General features: G+C 41.6%; 1 protein-coding gene across 10 annotated transcripts in view, besides 5 other annotated features; it reads right to left on the bottom strand.

Moving 5' to 3' along the window:
* The window catches only part of MTDH (metadherin), an 86,077-nt gene extending 64,612 nt beyond the window's left edge, over positions 1-21,465 (bottom strand). For all 10 annotated transcript variants that reach the window (NM_001363137.1, XM_011517369.4, NM_178812.4 and 7 more), the window contains exons 1-2: positions 20,762-21,465; positions 4,476-4,577 (exon numbers count right to left, since the gene is read on the bottom strand). In NM_001363137.1, the coding sequence (NP_001350066.1) occupies positions 4,476-4,577; positions 20,762-21,142 (483 nt within the window). In that variant the 5' untranslated portion in view covers positions 21,143-21,465. The remainder of the gene's footprint in view (positions 1-4,475; positions 4,578-20,761) is intronic.
* Positions 19,656-20,634: an enhancer, noted in NCBI's record as "H3K27ac hESC enhancer chr8:98657243-98658221 (GRCh37/hg19 assembly coordinates)". NCBI's record gives its function as "activates a minimal SCP1, AML or CMV promoter by ChIP-STARR-seq in primed H9 embryonic stem cells {active_cell/tissue: H9 hESC(primed)}" and the evidence as "EXISTENCE:reporter gene assay evidence [ECO:0000049][PMID:30033119]".
* Positions 20,336-20,504: a silencer, noted in NCBI's record as "fragment chr8:98657373-98657541 (GRCh37/hg19 assembly coordinates)". NCBI's record gives its function as "represses an EF-1alpha promoter that drives an FKBP-Casp9 reporter gene in an ReSE screen in phorbol 12-myristate 13-acetate-treated (for megakaryocytic differentiation) K562 erythroleukemia cells {active_cell/tissue: K562(+PMA)}" and the evidence as "EXISTENCE:reporter gene assay evidence [ECO:0000049][PMID:32094911]".
* Positions 20,635-21,615: an enhancer, noted in NCBI's record as "H3K27ac hESC enhancer chr8:98656262-98657242 (GRCh37/hg19 assembly coordinates)". NCBI's record gives its function as "activates a minimal SCP1, AML or CMV promoter by ChIP-STARR-seq in primed H9 embryonic stem cells {active_cell/tissue: H9 hESC(primed)}" and the evidence as "EXISTENCE:reporter gene assay evidence [ECO:0000049][PMID:30033119]".
* Positions 20,788-20,857: a silencer, noted in NCBI's record as "silent region_19392". NCBI's record gives its function as "represses an Ori minimal core promoter by ATAC-STARR-seq in GM12878 lymphoblastoid cells {active_cell/tissue: GM12878}" and the evidence as "EXISTENCE:reporter gene assay evidence [ECO:0000049][PMID:35858748]".
* Positions 21,128-21,587: a silencer, noted in NCBI's record as "silent region_19391". NCBI's record gives its function as "represses an Ori minimal core promoter by ATAC-STARR-seq in GM12878 lymphoblastoid cells {active_cell/tissue: GM12878}" and the evidence as "EXISTENCE:reporter gene assay evidence [ECO:0000049][PMID:35858748]".

Raw genomic sequence — 21,633 nt, 5'->3', positions numbered from 1 at the left:
TCTAAAACTTGTCTCCATATGCCTACTTACTGAAAATACCATTCCTATACTTAAGAGACTAATTAAGTCAATCTTTTTATGGCTACCCAAGTAGGATAACCTTTCTCCTCTGAATATCCAGCACTTAATGCCTTGTATTACTAGATATCTTCTCTTTGCTTGCCTTTCCTTAACTAGCCTGTAATCTGAGGGTAAGTACATCTTACATTTTTATTATCTTTAGCATCTATTAGCACAATGCATTCAGTCTGGCTAATCGTCCTATGTGTAGTCTACTAGAGACTAGTACTAATGAAACACTGACTTTCAAACCCAAATAAGGACCTAGAAAACTATAGCAGTTTAACCTGCTTTATAGACCTAAGATCTTGTCATATACAGTTTCTAGGCAAACTTTTATCTACAAGGCTTACTCAAGTGATATGGCAAGGTAATCAATATCACAGCTTAGGAGTACAATTACTCTACAGACAAAAATTGTACTTCTCAAAGTGCCCAAGATATGGCTCCGAGAGCAAAAACAAAAATATGATAATATATATAAAGGTGCATAAGATCAAAGATGTATTTCTTTATAAGGAAAGGCAGGCCGGGTGTACTGGCTCACGCCTGTAATCCCAGCACTTTAGGAGGCCGAGGCAGGCAGATCACCTGAGGTCAGGAGTTCGCGACCAGCCTTGGTCAATGTGGTGAAACCCCGTCTCTACTAAAAATACAAAAAATAGCTGGGCGTGGTGGTGCGTGCCTATAATCCCAGTGGTTCAGGAGGCTGAGGCAGGAGAATTGTTTGAGCTGGGAGGCGGAGGTTGCAGTGAGCTGAGATCGTGCCATTGCACTCCAGCCCGGGCAACAAGAGTGAAAGAACAAAGAAAGGAAAGAAAAAAAAGAAAGGAAAGAAGGAAGGAAGGAAAAGAAGAAAGAAGGGAAAGAAAAGAAAGAAAGAAAGAAAATAAGTCTAAAAAACACCAACTATTTAAAACACAAAGCGCAATACACACATAGTGCAATACCACAAAAAATTAACTGAGTCACCTAGACCTGACCACATTAAAAAGCATAAATTCAAAATGCAAAACGGGATGGCAAAAACAGAACACCAGCCATGAGTTGTAGCATGTATTATTATTTGAAAAGTCAAATAGAATAGGCAAGAAACCAAAGGTAGAAACTTTGTACTGAAAAAGCAACAGCAACTGAAAGGTGGCACTGTTAAATGATAAAAAGAACTTTTTCGAATCAGAATAAGCTGCGTTCACATCCTAGTCCAGAAACTGCATCCATTTTTTTTTTTTTGAGATGGAATCTTATTCTGTCACCCAGGCTGGAGTGCAATGGTACGATCTCAGCTCCCTACAACCTCCACCTCCTGTGTTCAAGTGATTCTCCTGCCTCAGTCTCCCGAGTAGCTGGGACTACAGGCACACGCCACCATGCCCAGCTAATTTTTGTATTTTTAGTAGAGACAGGGTTTCACCATGTTGACCAGGCTGATCTCAAACTCCCGATCTCAGGTGATCTGCCTGCCTCAGCCTCCCAAAGTGCTGGGATTACAGGCTTGAGCCATTGTGCCCGGCCAACTGTATCAAATTAATTAAATCACAAAATTTTTCTAGGCACTGGAGCCCTTATCTGTAAAATGGGGCTATAACTATCTGCCTGGCAGAGTTTCTGAGAGGATTAGAAATAATACAAGGCAGTAAAAAGTAAAGACTTTGAAGTCAGATAGATTTGGGTTAGAACTGACTATACTTTCAATAGCTCAGGTAACATAAGCCTCAAATTTCTCATTTGTAAGATGGATATAATACTACCACCTCAAAGCCCTTGTGAAAATAAGGAAATAATATCTATAAATTATTTTTTTAAACAACCATAAAGTCTTTTTTTTTTTTTTTTTTTTGAGACAGAGTCTTGCTCTGTCGCCCAGGCTGGAGTGCAGTGGCGCGATCTCCACTTACTGCAAGCTGCACTTCCTGGATTCACGCCATTCTCCTGCCTCAGCCTCCCTAGTAGCTGGGACTACAGGCGCCCGCTACCACGCCTGGCTAATTTTTTTATATTTTTAGTAGAGACGGGGTTTCACCATGTTATCCAGGATGGTCTCGATCTCCTGACCTCGTGATCTGCCCGCCTCGGCCTCCCAAAGTGCTGGGATTACAGGCGTGAGCCACCGCGCCCAGCAACAACCATAAAGTCTTAAAAGTATATCTAGTAAGTACTCAATAAGCTGTCCCTACTAGATATGTAAGTATATTTACACATACAAACATACCTCACCTTGCATGGTGCCTGCCATATTATACTTAAGTAAGTAAATGTCAACTATTATAATTATTTCCCACCACAAGACATTTCAAAGTAATGATGATAAACTTTAAACTGTGATTTTATACCCTGTCACATTCAATTTATATAAATTAATCACTAAGAGGTTAATGGTAGTTCCTCAATTACTGCAACTACAAATTTTTCAGGGCAATTCAGGGAGTAGAAGCAGGAGTAAGTATACATTACTCACTAATAGAGAGAAAGCCCAGAAAAAAGAAAACACTAGGTCAGAGATGTGTAAATCTATATTGGGCATATCAACTAGTCACTCTATAAACTCACACTCCTTATGTTACATGCTTACTTGTTAACACAAGTCATTACTTTTCTGCCAAAGACAAAGTCAGACATAAATTTAATTATTTCCCAAAACTATCCTTCATTTTAAGCTATTCTACCTGCAGCTGTCTTGGTTCTTCCAATTTCAAAATGTCTTTGAAGAAGTGACTTAGCCACTTCTTCAAAGACATTTTGAAATTGGAAGCATTAAGAAACTGTAGCAACCATTTCTTTCTTTCTTTCTTTCTTTTTTTTTTTGACAGAGTCTCGCTCTTTCGCCCTGGCTAGAGTGCAGTGGCGCAATCCCTGCTTACTGCAACCTCTGTCTCTTGGGTTCAAGTGATTCTCCTACCTCAGCCTCCCGAGTAGCTGGGATTACAGGCATGTGCCACCATATCCGGCTAATTTTTGTATTTTTAGTAGAGACAGTGTTTCATCATGTTGGCCAGGCTGGTCTCGAATTCCTGACCTCAGGCGATCCACCTGCCTTGGGCTCCCAAAGTGCTGGGATTACAGGCGTGAGCCACCACACCCAGCCAGCAGCAACCATTTCATACCACTATTCCAAGAAGCTAGAGCTGCTGCACTGTGGTTCCCAGAAACCACTTACCGATCAGTGACTGTCTTGTTTTGTTTTTGTTTGTTTTTTTTTTCCTGAAAAGGGGCTATGCATAGACAGGATTTTTTTTTAAAAAGGGGGAGGGGCTCTGGATGTGGTACCTCACGCCTGTAATCCCAGCACTTTGGGAGGCCGAGGCAGGAGGATCATTTGAGATTAGAAGTTCAAGACTATGTTGTGTGGGCAACATAGTGAGACCCCTGTCTCTATATTAAAAAAAAAAAAGGAAAGGGAGGGTAATTCGATGCACAAAAGGGAACTGAATGAAAAGTCTTTTTCTCACAGTAGAAGGAACCACTGTTAAGAATTTCTTATTCATTTTGCCTACTTCCAAGCTAGATTAAGTCAAGTAAAAATGAGTCGGTTCTAATGCCAAGCAACTGGAAAATTAATAAAATCTCAGGAATGTACCATTTATGTGGTATGATAGATTGTCTTACTTGGAAAATCTCACATCCAAATCAAAGTGCACATCTATATCTTTTTTCTTTTTTTTTTTTTTTTGAGACAGGGTCTCGGGTGCCCAGGCTGGAGTGAATTAGCACAATCTTGGCTCACTGAAACCAATCCTCCCACCTCAGCCTGCTGAGTAGCTAGGACTACAGGTGCGTACCACCACACCTGGCTAATTTTGGTATTTTTTGTAATGACAAAATTTCGCCATGTTGCCCAGGCTGATCTCAAACTCCTGGGCTCAAGCAATCTACCCACTTCGGCCTACCAAAGTGCTAGGATTACAGGCATGAGCCATAGCACCTGGCCCACATTTTCTTTTGTTAAATGAAGTTAATCTATGTCTAGTAAATAGACAATTATGTTTCCAACACAACAGAAATCTATTTCAACACTAAACATCACTGAACGATTTTGCTAAGGTTTTCATGCTAGATGTGTCTTACTAACAAAGGTAACACAATTCCACAGTTCTGTTTTTGAATAAAAGGTATATATGTTATATATCTGAAAACTTACACAAGATGTTCAAGTTGTGAATGAATTGTTTTTGGTATAATGAATATTTAGTATTGCCACAGCAATGTTTAAAATATTTGGTGATGCAACTTTCCTTTAAAAAAACAAAAACAACTCAGTTAAACTTTTACCACCCATCCACTATGGTTAATTCAGATTTTCTGAGTTTTGTTTAAATGAGAGGTATACATACAATCTTATGAAACAGAAAAGCATTATCCTTATATGTCATTCTATTAAGAGTCTTGCATACAATTTCATATGCTCCCAAACTTACCTTTTCATTTTTCTTGTCAATCTCTGGTGGCTGCTTTGCTGTTACACTTTGAGGTGTTCGAACAGCTTCACCCTCAGCCACTTCAACAGTCCGCCCATTTGGCTGCACAGGCAACAAAAAGTATCATATTATCAAACTGCTTAGCAGATCAGTGCAAAGATTTATACGCAGGAAACCATATATACTACAATCAAATCCTACCTCTGTACCTAAATTTAAAAAGTTTTTGTACACCAATGTTATCTAAGAGTTGATAGATTATCCCTAGTGTTTATATATATATATATATAAAATTCATAAGCAAAATTCTGTACCACAGATTTTCTTATCTCACCAAGGTATCAGTCCCTCTAACAAAAATAATGGAATGGAAGCAGTTAAAAGGAGAACAAAACTGTGTTTGCAATTTGACCACCAATTAACTGTGTAATCTCAGAATATTTCACTCATTGTCTCCGAGCCTTATTTCTACATCTATAAAGTGACAGGTATGATCTACTCAAAAGTCAGCAAACTTTTTCTGTAAACAGCCAGATAGAAAATATTTTATTTATAAACATATTCAGGGTGTATGGCAAAATAAAATTCAGAAAAAAATATTTTATTGATTGCCATCAACAGTCCTCAGCAAAAACAAAACAAAACAGAAACTATTTTAGGTTTTATGGGCCATATATCTTTGTTCTTTATTTTTATTTTTTGGCCCATATGTCTTTGTTGCAACTACATAATTCCTCCATTGTAGCATAAAAGCAGCCATAGATGATACATAAACAAATGAATGTTAGGCAATCTCTAATGGAACCTCTAATTCTGTAATTTCATGGCTCTACTGTTCTGGGAGTAAGAAGCTTTCCGACCCATTGCCACAGCCTACAAAAGGCTACAAAAGCTTTCCTAACATTCCTAAAATAAAATGATGGATAGCACTTAGAGATGCTCATGAGTAGACTCAAGTGTGTGATTCCCAAATCTGGCTTTTAACCAGAATCATTCTTTTTTTACCTTTTTTTTGAGACGGAGTTTCGCTCTTGTTGCCCAGGCTGGACTGCCAAGGTGTGATCTCGGCTCACTGCAACCTCTGCCTCCCAGGTTCAAGTGATTCTCCTGCCTCAGCCTCCTGAGTAGCTGAGATTACAGGTGCATGCCACCACGCCCGGCTAATTTTTGTATTTTTAGTAGAGACAGGGTTTCACCATGTTGGTCTGGCTGGTCTTGAACTCCTGACCTCAGGTGATCCACCCATCTTGGCCTCCCAAAGTGCTGGGATTACAGGCGTGAGCCACCGTGCCCAGCCTCTTTTTTACTTTTTAAATAATAATTTCTGAGCCCCATCACCAGACTGAGAAGTTTGGAGAATGGGGCCTAGGTATCTGTACTCTAACCGTCTTTCTGGATCCTACAACATCTTTTCACTTATGCATTCCCCTCAAATTCAACATGTTAGTAAGTCAATATACTAGTTTCAATGGCTTTATTTTCAGTTCTTACAGAACACACTTTTATCAGCTACCTAGTCATTACAGCAGAGCTATACTCAAGAAAACAATACAAAGTGTTCCAAGTTTCTATAATATGACTTAACATGCATTTGTTAACAATGATCAGGGATACAAAGTTGGAAAAGGAGACCATTTATATTCTCAAATTCAATTTGTAGGCTTTACAAAGATCTGTGGCAGAAAATCAAAACAAAAGCTGTCTTTTAGCTGGTTAAATTCCTAATTAACCCAAATATAATCTGCTGGGTCTGAAGCAACTTGTTAAAGTCAGACAGCTAATGCTAAAACCAGGTTTTCTTACTCTTGATTTGGTTTTCTTTCTTCTATGCTGTCTTGCCACTTCTAATGTTGCCTCTTCTAATCCCTCTTCTGTTATTTATGCATATGGGGGAAGGAAGGAAGAGGGAGGTAGTACGTGGGTAAAGGTAAGAAACCTCAAAATGGAATGTGGACTTAGGGCCGTATCTACATCAGGAATACAAAACTTTGTTTAATTTTACTTTCTAATATCATCATTTTTTTTTTTTTTGAGACGCAGTCTCGCTCTGTTGCCCAGGCTGGAGTGCAGTGGCGCAATCTCAGCTCACTGCAAGCTCTGCCTCCTGGATTCAAGCGATTCTCCTGCCTCAGCTTCCCAAGTAGCTGGGACTACAGATGCCTGCCACCACGCCCAGCTAATTTTTTGTATTTTTAGTAGAGACGGGGTTTCACTGTGTCAGCCAGGATGGTCTTGATCTCCTGACCTCGTGATCCGCCCGCCTCAGCCTCCCAAAGTGCTGGGATTACAGGTGTGAGCCACCACACCCGGCCTCTAATATCATCATCTTATTCTTATATGCTACTTTTAGTTCATGCTATCTTCTCTGGCCAAACTTGCCTTTTCTGATTTTCTTGTGGCCACACTTTTCCATGTAAGACTTATACCAACTGAACAATCTTGCAGCTTCAGTTCTATAGTCTCCTATCTCTTCAACTGGCAACTCACAAAACTTATATCTGCTAAACTTCATTTAATTAATCCCTTCAGGAAACTCTCCATCATAATCACTTATATACTGCCATATACCACCTTCATTTTACTCATTTACATGACACTGAGTCATTGGGATTTATTTACTAAATACTAGGAAGATTAGAAATTATTCGGTCAAAAACTGTCTTAAAAACTCACCAACAAGTTCAATGCCATTTATGTGAGAACAACTGCAAACAATATTGATGTAGCCTCCCAAATGAAATATGAAACATTCTTTTCTTTCAAACAACACAAAGTCTGAAAGTGACCAACTGCATTCCCACAGATTCAGGAACATTCAGTTCCCATTTCCATAGGCTCTGAAATGATCAGCAAGCCAAAGGTGCTCATACGCTCCTATCTGTGCCAATTTTAGTTCCTTCTTTGCAACATCAATCTACATAATAGCTCTAATCGCAGCTGTTCTCTCTGACCTGTGTAGATCTCCCAATTTTCCACTAAACTCTTAGAATTTATATAGCTTTCATCATTACTGGGATTCCAGAAGTCATCAGCAACTTCCCACACATGCCTGATGCCATGAAACAATAAGCCTCCTATCCCAAAAGTAAAGTCAATATAATTCTTGGGTTGCTGGAAAAAAGAATACACTGAGGTGATTCTCCTTCATACAGCAGAGCCAATGTGTCCTTTCATTTTGCCAACAGCTGGTCGAGAAGGCCTTGCCCTGGAAAATCACTAATCATACTTAAATTAGCAAATCCCTAAATGGGAGCATATTATATAGATCTACTTACATGAATAGTAACTAATTACAAACCAAAACTTCAAATCCAATGTGTCTACCCTTGTGATTGTCAATATGGGTTTTACATGAAAGTGTTGTTGGTCAGGTGCAGTGGCTCACGGCTGTAATTCCAGCACTTTGGGAGGCCAAGGCAAGAGGATCAGCAAGAGCTCAGAAGTTCGAGACCAGCCCAAGTAACATAGACAGACCCTGTCTCTACAAAAAATAATTTAAAAAAATAGCCGGGTGTGGTGGCATGCCCCTGTAGTCCCAGCTACTCGAGGGACTGAAATGGGAGGATCACTTCAGCCTGGGAGGTCAAGGCTGCAGTGAGCTGTGACTGCACCACTGTACTCTAGCCTGGGCAAAAAAGTGAGACCCTGTCTCAAGAAAAGAAAAAAAAATACAAAAGAAAAAAAAAGTAGTTTTCTCTGATCATGGAACTTTAATCTATATGGTGGCTTTCTACAGATTAGCAATTACATGGGCCTCTCATTGTACCCCAGTTTAAAATTCTCTCAAGAACTTTAAGGTCTTCCCCACCAGGGCCAATCAAAGTTATTTCATATATAGCTTACAATCTATGTTTTAAGTTAGACCAAAGATATCTTTCAAATTTGTTGAAAATCAACCAGTAACAGAAAAATGATAGAATCATTTTATTTTGATGGATAAACTCCTTGTAGACATCACCATGTTTACCTTCTTGTTATAATTTTCTTCGACCCCCACACCTGGATCTTTCTTTTTTTAAAATGCATGCACAAAGGAACACTTTGTATGTATGTGCTGGCAGGGGTGGTAGTAAACCAGAATGAGGATATCTATATATCAGGGGAAAATGGAATGTAAGAGGGGGCCACATAGCAGACTAGTCAATCTTCAATTTATTAATTTCATACAATTCCATAACTTTTTTTTTTTTTTGAGACACAGTCTTGCTCTGTCGCCCAGGCTGGAGTGTAGTGGCATGACCTTGGCTCACTGCAGCCTCCACCTCCCAGGTTCAAGTGATTCCTGTGTCTCAGCATTAGACACATGTCATCATGCCTGGCTAATTTTTGTATTTTTAGTAGAGAGCGGGTTCCGCTATGCTGCCCAGGCTGTTCTAGAACTCCTGGCCTCAAGTGACCCGCCTGCCTCAGCCTCCCAAAGTGCTGGGATTATGGGTGTGAGCCACCGCACCTGGCCTCAATTCCTGGTACTCAAGTACCAGGCATCAGGCTAAGGACTGTAGGAACAAGGACATATGAATGGAGTTTCTGCCTCAAGGAGTTTTAAAGTTCAGAATAAGAAGTATGCTTAATAGGCCGGGCACGGTGGCTCACGCCTGTAATCCCAGCACTTTGGGAGGCTGAGGCAGGCAGATCATGAGGTCAAGAGATCGAGACCATCCTGGCCAACATGGTGAAACCCCGTCTCTACTAAAAATACAAAAATTAGCTGGGTGTGCTGGCAAGCACCTGTAGTCCCAGACTCGGGAGGCTGAGGCAGGAGAAGCACTTGAACCTGGGATGCGGAGGTTGCAGTGAGCTGAGATCGCGCCACTGCACTCCAGCCTGGGGACAGAGCGAGTCTCTGTCTCAAAAAAAAAAAAAAAAAAAAAAGTATGCTTAATAACAGATGTCATTTGAGCACTCTTAACTTGTTAAAACTGATTCCAACTTGCAAAAGAACCTGTATCTGAGGTAAGCATATATAAGGTTTAACACTGACTTCTAAAATGAAATCACATAGAACCCTACTTTCACTTAGTTACGTAAACTGTATTTCTAGCCACAACATGTAAAGATCATGATTCAAATGACCTAGAAACTTCTTAGGTTTAGAAACTAGAAGGGCAGTCTACCAACTTCCCCCAAAAAATGGAATATGAGAAGACTATGGGCTTTGGAGTTTGACAAACCTGGGATTAAGGCTTAACTTCCATATTTAATCACTGTGATTTTAACCATTTTCCTTGACTTAACCCTTGATTTCATCATTTGTAAATATGAGAAAAATATATACTTTGTCTTACACATTTACATTTGAATTACACCAAGTGACAGAGCATGTGAAAGCATACCTGCTCCAGAAACAGTTTTTCCCTTCTTTTTAAAATTTTTCTTAAATTTTTGGTAGAGATGAGGTCTTGCTATGTTGCCCAGGCTGGTCTTGAACTCCTGGGCTCAAGTGATCCTCCCTCTTTGGCCTCCCAAAGTGCTAGGATTACAGGTATAAGCCACTGCACCTGGCCCGTCTACCCTTTTCTCTCCAAAGCTATGATGGCCTATGCCCTTTATTCCCACGTTCAAGCATTTGGGCCATTTTTTTATATTAACAAGCTCAGATGAATGTTAAGTCCTGGTGGTCAAAAGGGCCTGGACAGGCATCCATCAGGTCCAATGCTCCAGATGCAAATTCTTTTGGGAAGTTAATGGATTAAAAATAATAAGCAAATATATCCTCTCAGAGGCTTAAAATAGTCCAGGCTTGCTCTAGAGGCAGCATTGTAATGTTATCTTTCTTTTTAAAAAACTGCTGTTTTCCAAGAAAATTACATAATATTCACTCAGTAGAGTGCTATGCAGAACTCTTAACACCTTGAAACAAAGATAAGGCTCAATGCCTGCACTCAAGAAGCTTAGAACCTAGTAAAGGAAGACAGGTATACAATAACATATAGTAAAGTACAAAACAAAAGGTATACTCTCCCTCACACTCTCAAGAGTACAGGTTTTGAAAGCAGGCTGGGAGACCAGGATTGAGATCCCAAATGTGTTTCACCCTGGACAAACACTGGAATTTCATTTTTATTTTTTTCTTTTGAGACAGGGTCTGGCTCTGTTGCCCAGGCTGGAGTGCAGTGGTGTGTGATCTCGGCTCGACTCACTGCAACCTCCGCCTCCCAGGCTCAAGCCATCTTCCCACCTCAGCCTCCCAAGTAGCTGGGACTACAGGCACACACCACCATGCCTAGTTAATTTTTTGTAGAGACAGGGTTTTGCCATGTTGCCCAGGCTAGTGTCAAACTCCTGAGCTCAAGCAATCCACCTGCCTTGGCCTCCTAAAATGCTGAGATTACAGGTGTGAGCAACTGTGCCTGGCCAGAATCTCAATTTTATTGGCTAAAAGTGATACTGAGCATACAGGAGGCATTGTGTGTGTGTGTGTATATATATAATCCTCATCATAAAAAAGATAAAAGGCAAGAGAGCATTAAGACAAATACCTAATGCATGTGGGGCTTAAAACCTAGATGACAGGTTGATGGGTGCAGCAAATCACCATGGCACATGTATACCTATGTAACAAACCTGCACATTCCGCACATGTATCCCAGAACTTAAAGTATAATTAAAAAAAAAAAAAGATAAAGGCAAGAAATTAGGAAATTCAGAAGAGGCATCATTGTAGTTGATAAGTTAGACTATAAGACAGTCTTAACAATAATAATTTCCAAGTACTTGCTAGACACATTACACGCATTATCTCATTTAATGGACAAGACCTAGTTTTGGTAAGTTTGTTTTAGTTCTGAAACGTTCTTACACAAATTCAAGATGGAACAATTTCTTGTCAGTTTGTTTGAAAGTAAAAACATTTTCCCCTGCCAAATGTTATGCACACAGCAACTACATAAACTAAACATACACATAAACCATAGCTTTAGACACAGTTCAACCCCAATTTCAAACTCTTAATAACTGAGAGAACAATCTTACAAATATAACCTATGGTTCAAATTTGCAAAATCTCACTATATACTGAGATATTTCCTTTAGTGGTAAAGATCCCTGTGCTTTCTAAACAGCCAAAAATTCAACTCAGGATTCCAAACTGTCTCCTTGTTGACTACAGCAGGGATGCTCAGGGTTACCTTTATGAGATGGGGAGATGGTAATAACTGTCACATGGCCAAGATATGCCAAAGATGATTTCTGAAAAACTAAATACAAGCATTGGTTTTCAATATTTTACATCTGATGGGTATGATAAGGACTACAAATGATACAGCAAATACACATCTGTATAATTCTTTCTTAGAAGAAAAATGTCTAAGACATTCTGACGGATGCCTTCTGGGAAGCCTGGCATTCCATGGAGCAGTTTGAAAACTACTAGCATAGCTGGAGAGAAAAACAAGTGCATTTTAAAACTGATCAAATAACACCAATTCCTCACTTATATCTCTGAATTTTGCTTGAATAATAATTTAAAAATACTCTCAAGGCTTTTACAGCCTTGAGAAATAGTACACTAACCAGTAATGCCAAAGCACAACAAAAATGAATGTTCATAGGGTTTATTGTTGTTCTTGGTATCTAAGATGGGCACAACTACTAAAGGTCTTTTCTGTCAGAACTGTTAAAGGTCTTTTACGTTAGGCCTCTGGCAGAATGAAAAGAAAAGATGAAAAAATCCTGTCACATAACCAAACAAATGGAGCCAAAATTCTGGAGCTTTTGTAAGGTCATTATAATTTTCAGCAGAAACTTCTGACTCGAAATTTTAAAAGCAATAAAGCCATAACTCACTGGGAAAACTCTATTTGTTCTCTGAATGCAATTTAATATCCTGGAACATGCCATCGAAACCAGAGAGGTAGAGTGGAAATAACAAAGTTCTTAGACTAGAAATTAGGATATTGTTTTGCCTTTTAAACTCCTTTGTCCTATGACCTTGAATAAGTCAGTTAATTTTTCTGAATCTCAAGATTTCTCTTCTGTAAAATCATGAATATTTGTTTTACTTATAATTTGGATTTTTTTGAGCAAATGATTATTCTTTTTTTTTTTTTCTTTTTTTGAGACAGAGTCTCGCTCTGTCGCCAGGCTAGAGTACAGTGGTGCGATCTCGGCTCACTGCAACCTCCGCCTCCCGGGTTCAAGCGATTCCCCTGTCTCAGCCTCCTGAGTAGCTGGGACTATAGGTGCACGCCACCATGCCTGGCTGATTTTTGTAGTTTTAGTAGAGATGGGGTTTCACCATGTTGGCCAGGATGGTCTCAATCTCCTGACCTGGTGGTCCGCCCGAAGTACTGGGATTACAGGTGTGAACCACCGCACCTGGCTGATTATTCTCTTAAGAATTAAAACTGACAAAGAGTGACTTAAAGGTAAAAAGAAAACTCTATAGGTGGCAAGTGATATAACTTTTTTAATATTACCAGCAAAACTATTACCTAAGAATAAAAAAACACAATTCTACTGGGAATATATTAAGAGATAAATTTATTTAACTCAATAACAGATTATCCAATTAACTGTGAGATGTTATTTTAGTCACTTTGTTCAGCTTTTAGTTCAACAAATAATTACCAAAGGCACTTATACGCCAGGCAGTTTGCCACCGGTTTACAATCTGGGGAGGGAGAGAACCCAAAAAAGTAAATGGGTAAGTAAACAAATAATGTACAAACTGTAATAACCACTATGAAGGAAACATCTAAGGGGTTGAGACAGAAAATAGAAAGGGATGTCTATTTCACATAGGGTGATCAGGAAAGGATTTTCGGGGAAGGTGACTTTTAAGGTGAAAACTAAAGGCTGAGGAGAATAGTGGGGGAAAGATTGTTCCAAAAGTGTTAATAATAGCTCATGTAAAGGCGCTGGGTTGTGAAAGAGTTTCAAGAACTGAACAGCAAATGACAGGAAACTCACACAAATTCAGCTTAGAATGAAAAGCAGGTGCTGGGCCATACGGGCCATGGAAAGAGATTTAGATTTTAAATGCAAAAGCTACTAAGTGTTGGTTTTAGGCAGCATAGTGATTTGCTTTGAAAAAACTCATTACTAGTGCGTTGAGAAAGGACTGGATGCAGTAAAAGGAAGGCTACTGCTGCAGGTTAGGGGAGCTAAGGTGACACTAGAAAAAGTAGTCAGATTGAATATATATTTTGGAGATAAAATTGATGGTACTTTGCTGATGGGTTAGATATAAGGTGAGGAAGATATGAAGAGGTGAGAAAAAGATTAGAATCAAGGATGATTCTTCTATTTTTGGCTTGAATAACTGAATGGATGGTAGAGTAATTTACCACTTACAGAAATAGGGAAGACTGGGAGAAGGCAAGAAATAATAGGTTCTGTTTTGGAGATGTTAAAAGTTTGAGATAATTTTTAAAAAGTTTGAGATACGTATCAGACTCCCAATCAGAGAAATCAAGCATACATGTAGACATGAGGTTCTGGAGATGACAGAACAGTCTAGATACAGATAGGGACTAATATACAGTTGTTCCCCATTATTAATGGATTCTGTATTGGTGAATTTATCTTTTCACTAAAATTTATTTGTTACTCCAAAATCAATACTTGAGGTACTTTCACGGTCATTTCTGGACACGCACATGCACAGAGCTGCAAAGTCACTCTGCAGGCACATTCCCAGCTGAGGTCAAGCCTCCACCTTCTTATTTCAGCTCTCATCACTGTAAATAAGTATCCTTTCTGAGGACTATTTAGTGTCACATATTTTGCATTTTTTGGGTGCTTTTTGTTAGTGATTTTGCTGTTTATAATGGTCCCCAACTGTAGTGCTGAAGTGCTGCTGAGCATTCCTAAGCATAAGAAGGCTGTGATATACCTTACAAAGAAAATAATGCATTAGATAAGCTTTGTTCAGGCATGAGTTCTAGTGCTATTGGCCGTGAGTTCAATGATATGAATCAATTAAATTAAATGTCTTTAAACAGAAACACTCATAAAACAAGACCATGTATTGTATATGGTATTGGTGAAAATATTGTGACCAGAGGCTTGGACCTAATTTTGCACTTTCCCTAGGAGCACTAGTTTAGTACTTGCTAATTCAGTGGGAACTTTATAGAACTTCTGCAGATAAAGAAAATCAACTATGCTGATCTGTTCCAGTACTATTTATAACATACCTTTTATGTGTGTGACCACTAGTAATGCGTTTTGTGCTCCTAATATGGATAATGGGCAGACACTCAGATACTTGCTGAATGACTATTAGAACCAAATGAAATGGTGATATTAGACCATTCTAATCTAAACAATATGGCATAGCCAGGTGTGGTGGTGTGTGCCTGTGGTCCCAGGTAGTCGGGAGGCTGAGGTGGGAGGATCGCTTGAGCCTGAGAGGCGGAGGTTGCAGAGAGCCAAGATCACACCACTGCACTCCAGCGTGGGTGACAGTGAGACCCCAGCTCAAAAAATAAATAAATAAATAAATTTTTAAAAGGCAATTCCATAGTTTCCACTAAACACGAAACATTATGCTAGGTGTTACAATATATAACTCTAGCTGAGGAGCTAGGGAAGGCTTTACAGTTGAAGCAGCACTGCAGCTGGGCCTTGAAGGACAGGTGGAAATTGGTAGAGAGAGGCTGGGCACAGTGACTAACGCTTGTAATTCCAGCACTTTGGGAGGCCTAGGCAGGTGGAGTACTTGAGCTTAGCAGTTCAAGACCAGTCTAGGCAACATAGCAAAACGCCATCTCTACAAAAAATTCAAAAATTAGCTGGGCATGGTGGTGTGCGTCTGTAGTCCCAGCTACTCAGGAGGCTGAGGTGGGAGAGTCGCTTGAGCCTGGGAGGTTGAGGTTGCAGTGAGCCAAGATTACGCCACTGCACTCCAGCCTGGTTGACACAGCCAGACCCTGTTTCGAAAAGAAATTTAAAAATAAAAATAAGAAAAGAAACTGGCCGGGCCTGGTGGCTCATGCCTGTAATCCCAGCACTTTGGGAGGCTGAGGCAGGCGGATCACGAGGTCAGGAAATCGAGACCATCCTGGCTAACACGGTGAAACCCCATCTCCACTAAAAATACAAAAAATTAGCTGGGCATGGTGGTGGGCGCCTGTAGTCCCAGCTACTCAGGAGGCTGAGGCAGGAGAACGTGCGTGAACCCGGGAGGTGGAGTTTGCAGTGAGCTGAGATCGCACCACTGCACTCCAGCCTGGGCGACAGAGTGACACTCCGTTTCAAAAAGAAAAGAAAAGAAAAGAAATTGGTAGAGAGATAGAAAGAAGGGTCTTTTAATAGATAAAAATAATGGCCGGGGGCAGTGGCTCATGCCTGTAATCCCAGCACTTTGGGAGGCTGAGGCAGGTGGACTGCCTGAGCTCAGGAGTTTGAGTCCATGCGTGGGCAACATGGTGAAACTCCATCTCTACAAAAAGTACAAAAATAACCAGGTGTGGTATCGTGCACCTGTAATCCCAGCCACTCGAGGGGCTGAGGTGGGAGGAATGCTTGAGTCTGGGAAGTGGAAGCTGCAGTGAGCTGTGTTCACACCACTGCACTCCAGCCTGGGACAAAGTGAGACTCTGGTCTCCAAAAACAACAACAACAAAAATGAAAATAATCATAAATAAAGAGACACAGAAATCTAGCTAAGCAGAATTATTTCTTGTCTTAGGAGTAATGGTGAGAGACAAGCCTAAGGTAGGGTTAGATCATGAAGAGACTCGAGTGCCATGTCATGAATTTTGCATTTTATTCAACAGGTGATGGGGAAACTACTGAAAGGATGTGAACATCAAAGTCACATGATCAGGGTTGGGCTTCAAAAGACTCTACTCACACGAGTGGGTAGAAAAGATTGGCAAAAAAGAAACTGGAAGCAGGAAAACTAGTTAGGATGATGTTAGAACAGTCTAAACAAAAGGTAATAAAGTCCTAAAGTAGGGCAGTGGCAGTGAAACTGGAACAGAAGTAATGACTACAAAAGACACTGCATACTATTAGAATACAGTCATACACTGCTTAATGAGAATACATTCTGAGAAATGCATCTTTGTGCAAACATCACATAGTATACTGACACAAACCTAGGCTACAAACCTGTACAGCATGTTGCTGTACTGAATACTGTGGCAACTGTAACACAATGGTAAGTGTTTGTGTATCTAAACATAGAAAAGGTATAGTAAAAATACAATATCATAATCTTATGGGGTCATTATATAGGCAGTGCTTCACCTCACAAAATTACAGCCAGATGAGGCAAACAGCCACTTTCCACTTAAAGAGAAAAAGGGGGCTCACATAGGTATTTACCAAGCATGAATAATAGGAGTAAGCTGTATAAATACTTTTGTTGGACATCTTACTATATTATGCATTCAATAATTATTTTTGAGTACCAAGCACTGTGCAAGGCTATCTGGTAGCAAACAAAAGGAAACACTATTATTTTATTCATTGAGCTTAGAGATATGGCAATTACACTATAGCAAATCTTTATAAACATTCCTACACTAATATGCAAATAACTTGTCCACTAAAATAAATTTTTGAGCTGGGTGAGGTTGCTCATGCCTGTAATCCCAACATTTTGGGAGGCCAAAGTGGGAGGATGGCTTGAGGCCAGGAGTTTGAGGATGCAGTGAGCTATGAGCTATAACCGCCACTGCACTCCAGCATGGGCAATAGAGCAAGACTGTTTCAAAAAAAAAAAAAAGACAATTTTCTTTGATATTAATCCTGATTATGTGCTTCCAGTTGAAATTCAAAGCCAATTGTTACAGACCAGTTTTCGCAGACTTCACTTCAATCTAAGTCATTACTCAGATTAAAAATCAAGTGAAAAAATACTTGAGTGCCCATTTAATACAGACTTTGAGGTAGATGTCATGAAAAATACATACAAGATAATAATTTCCAAAAATGCCAGGAACAGGGGTGGGGGGGAAAAGAAAAAATGCCAAGAACTGAGCCCAGTAAAAAGTGGCCCCCCTCACTTTTAATTAGGGAACAAACTGTAATTCATACCCTAAAAGATCTATGGCATGGTTTTATTAGGGGATAAAAAACAAATTGATAAAATAATTTCAGAAATTGCTTATAAACAGGTTGAGGTAAATACAGATTTCGCCACTATTTACTCTACAAATGAAAAATTTGAAAACAGGAGTCGCAAAATTTGGAGTGATTTAAGAGAAAGCTAAAAATAATGGAACGAAAAGATCAGAGATCAGGAATCTACAAGCTTTTTTTTTTTTTTTCTTTTAGGAGACAGAGTCTTGCTGTGTTGCCCAGGCTGGAGTGCAGTCACCTGATCATAGCTCATCACAGCGTCAAACTCCTAGGCTCAAGTGATCCTCCCAACAGTGCCTCCCAAAGTGCTGGGATTACAGGCATAAGCCACTGTGCCTGGCCCAAGCATTTCCACAAGCATTCAAAGTGACTCATTGCAAGTAGCCAGGGATAACACTTTGAAGAATACTGCAGTGTTTTAACTCAACTAAGATTTCCAATTTGTAAACAAGATACACTGAACAGAGCAAGGTGAAATGCCTTACTCAAGTTTAGAGTTTCCCATTCCTGCCAGGCTGACAGAGTTGTCTTCTTTCAATCCTGGGCCTTTGTTGTTTCTCAGGCCTCTCACATTATCTTGCTCTTACTGCCCTCCCTTCCCCCCTTTTTTTAGACAGGGCCTCGAATTGGCTCACTGCAGCCTCCACCTCCTGGCTCAAGCAATCCTCCAACCTCAGCCTCCAGAATAGCTGGGACTACAGGTGCACACCACCACACTGGGCTAATTTTTTAAATTTTTTGTAGAGATGAGGTCTCACTATATTGCCCAGGTCGTTCTTGAATTCCTGGGGGACTCCTACCCACTTTCAAAGTCAGCTTCTGTGACAAGGCCTTTCACGCCCACCTGGGTCCACATCCAGTTGTATCATTAATTTCTTAAGTATATCTTTTTCCACGACTGAAACAAAAAGCTCCCTGGGGAGAAACTGAGCTTTAACCTTTGTATCCCTGTCACAGAGAGATATGCCCATATTGTATGCCTTTTCACCGCCTTCAATTTGTAAGCAGTATCTTGCTTTTCTTCAATACTTAGCACAGTTAAAGGTATCTAATGAGTACCAAACGGCAGCTTGTACTTCTTTGCCCTGTAAAGCTACCCCATAACTGTGGGTCATGCCTCACAGTCAAATGTGAAATGAATTTAGTGGGTCATGAACATTAAAGAAAAACAGAACAGTTTTATGTGTGTAATGTAATGTAAAATGTATTTCTTATTGTGGGTTGCAGTCAGAAAAGCTTGAAAGTCACAATTTTGTAAATGTTGGTTAAACTTCTCGAATACATCTTCAATATTTGGTAGATAAGGATACTTCCTCACCCAATTAACATTCAGCCATACAGTCTTCCCATTCTCCACTCCTCAAAGCTAACGCTAGGTTTACTTATTTACTCCCCACTTCCTTAACTCGAATGAAAATGAGGGGGTAAGTCTTTTAAGTCTACTGAGCATTTTTCACAGTAATGTATAAGCATTCGCCGGAATCTGTATTCTTTCAGATGAGTCATTTGAGTGTTATAACGCATGTCGGATGGGTTCTTGGAGAACCTGTCTCTCTCAACTCAAGTTTATCTGAAATTTCTAGATGTCCCAAATAGGGCTTTGAAATTTTCACAATGTGCTTCATCCACATGGGTTTGTGCTGAATGTGTTTCTTTCAAGATCACCTTCTTTCCTTACCTTGGAGCAAGGTTCTCTATTTTCACCATAACATTACTTTGATAATTGGTAATTCTTGATAGTCTCCACAAATTTTTAAATTATTTATGTTCCAAATCAGTTCTATTTTCTCCTCTCCTAACTTATGGTAGTATTCACATTGACAAAGTTGTGCCTTTTCCAGGTTTCATATGTATCTTGCATCTCTTAATCAGCAGGCAAAACGTGAAGGCCTATCCAGGCCTCATAATGCACTAACTGTGACCTGTCACATCTCTAATCTAGAGATTAGAGTTTGTTACCAACAAAACTCTTGTTAGTTGGAACTCAAACCCCATTTCCTCCAACAACTTTCCTAAAGCCCTCCAGTGAAATGTCTCCTACCCTCCAAACCTCATTAACACTCAGTTAAAACCTCTTTAACACCTATCAGTCTATGCAAAATTCTAATTATTTATGAATCTGTCTCCACTACTCTCCAACACTGACTCTACGTGTATACCTTGCACTGCCCTCCAAACACCAGAGTGCAAATTTCACATGGTAGGGCCTTCGTACTGGCTTACTGAATTGTACTGAAAAGGTGAAGATCTTAATTCGCTGGATATAAAAATAGGTTAGGTGCTGTTTCTAACTCTGCATACCCTCCATAGTCTCAATTTGCTCAAATGTAAAATATTTTTAAAAATACATAAAACTATGAAAGATATAATGGGAGAACCATGGGAATGGCAATAAAGAATGTAAACGTAAAACATGAAGGCCTAAGACAGACGTGATGCCCTCTGCAACTTCCACACGTGGCCCAGTAAATCGGTGCCTGAATTCCTCTCTCGGCTTTCACCATTCTGCCCTGTCATCTCCCTTTACTCTATTTCACAAATCTACCACGCCACAGAGTGTGCAACAGACTCGTTCGTTGAACTCGCCTTAGCTCTTTCTCACAGGACCATACACCTCAAAGCGTATTAGGTAACCGACCCCCTCTTGCCTTGCTCCCGTTCCGGCCTCTGTTGGCCACATTTGCCAGAACAAGAATGGGCAACCATTTCCCTTTAACAGTCCCAACTAAAATGGAAGCGCGTCTAGACCTGGACACCTTTAATCCTGTGTAAGCCCCAGAATTTCTAGGTCACCGCACTTCTTCCACTGCCTACTGTCTCAATGTGACTTGAGATAGACATCTGTCTTCCGAGCGCAGTCTTTATACAACTTCCTAACACCACCTTAAGGTCCCATTACGCTCCACATGCAGCCTACTCTGCAGGCCTCAAGGAAGGATGCTGTGCTTATTCTAGCGGTGACGGTTCCCAAAGATGGCTTGACCTCTGGGCGCCTATCTGAACGGACCCCCAGACCTCCTAACTTCCTTCCTCGAAACTGGGCTTCCCCACTCGTCCTATACTTCCTGAGTTCCCCCCATTCCCCAAATAACATGACCACCTATCACCTCCTCCTCCACTTGGGAGTGCTGCCTCTCGGCTTTCGACTAAGCACTCTTTTCCTTCCCGGCTGGGGCGCGGCCTCCCCCAAGCTCGAGGGTCTCCACGCCCGCCCTTCGCCCGTTCTCTACTGCCGCTCATCCCATACTCACTTTGGGCTTCTCGGACAGTTTCTTCCGGTTCTTCTTCTTCTGTTCCTCGCTCCGGAGATTCTTCAGCAAGGCCAGGTCGTCGGGGGCCGCGGCCGGCACGGCCGCCGCCTCCTCCCGCTTGCGGGGCGGGCTCCTCCGCTTTTTGCGGGCGCCGGCGCAAGCCGCGGCCCAGCCGTAGCCCAGCAGAAACAGCAGCAGCAGCCCGAGCGCGCCAGTGCCCACCAGGATCACCCAGCCGGGGTACCGTTTCGGCTCCAGCCCCAGGTCGAGGCCCAGCTCGGTGCGCAGAAAGCCTAGGCCGACCGAGAGCATTTCCCGCAGCCGGGCCGAGCCCTCCTCGGCCTGCTGGGCCAGCTCGTCCTGCCAGCTCCGTGCAGCCATCTTCCCTCCCGTCAGAGGGACTCGCAGGATGACGCCGGGGCGCGGAGACGCAGTGGAATAGTCGAGGGAAGCGAGGAAGGGCCGGGCCGGGTAACCTCAGGCCGAGCGCATCGCGGCCGTCCCTCGCGCCGGAGCCGGGGATCGGCCGCTGCCACCGCGGGGAGGGCGGAGGGGTCTCCCAGGTTCCCCGCTGTCAGCCTCACTCCGCCGCCGCCAGGAGACCCGGGAGGCGGGAGGGAGTGTCTCCAGTGGCGGCCGCTAAGCGGCGTCTCGGCGCCAGCGCCAGGCCCCGCTGTCCTCCCTCGGCGGAACAATGGCGGCTTGGGCCGCGATCCACGCCGCGCGCGGGGACGACCGTGGGTCACGTGGGCGCCAGTGGGCGGGGCGTGGGCGTCACGTGGGGGCGGGCGGGGTCGGGTGGGGCAAAGGCGTGTCAGGGAAGGTTGGCGGTGGTCGGTTCGGGCCTGGTTAAGACGCGGCGTTGGGGACCC

The sequence above is a fragment of the Homo sapiens genome, chromosome 8 (assembly GCF_000001405.40).
Source record: "Homo sapiens chromosome 8, GRCh38.p14 Primary Assembly".
Taxonomy (NCBI): domain Eukaryota; kingdom Metazoa; phylum Chordata; class Mammalia; order Primates; family Hominidae; genus Homo; species Homo sapiens.
The sequence above is the reverse complement of the archived record's forward strand: the minus strand, read 5'-3'. Positions and strand labels throughout refer to the sequence as shown.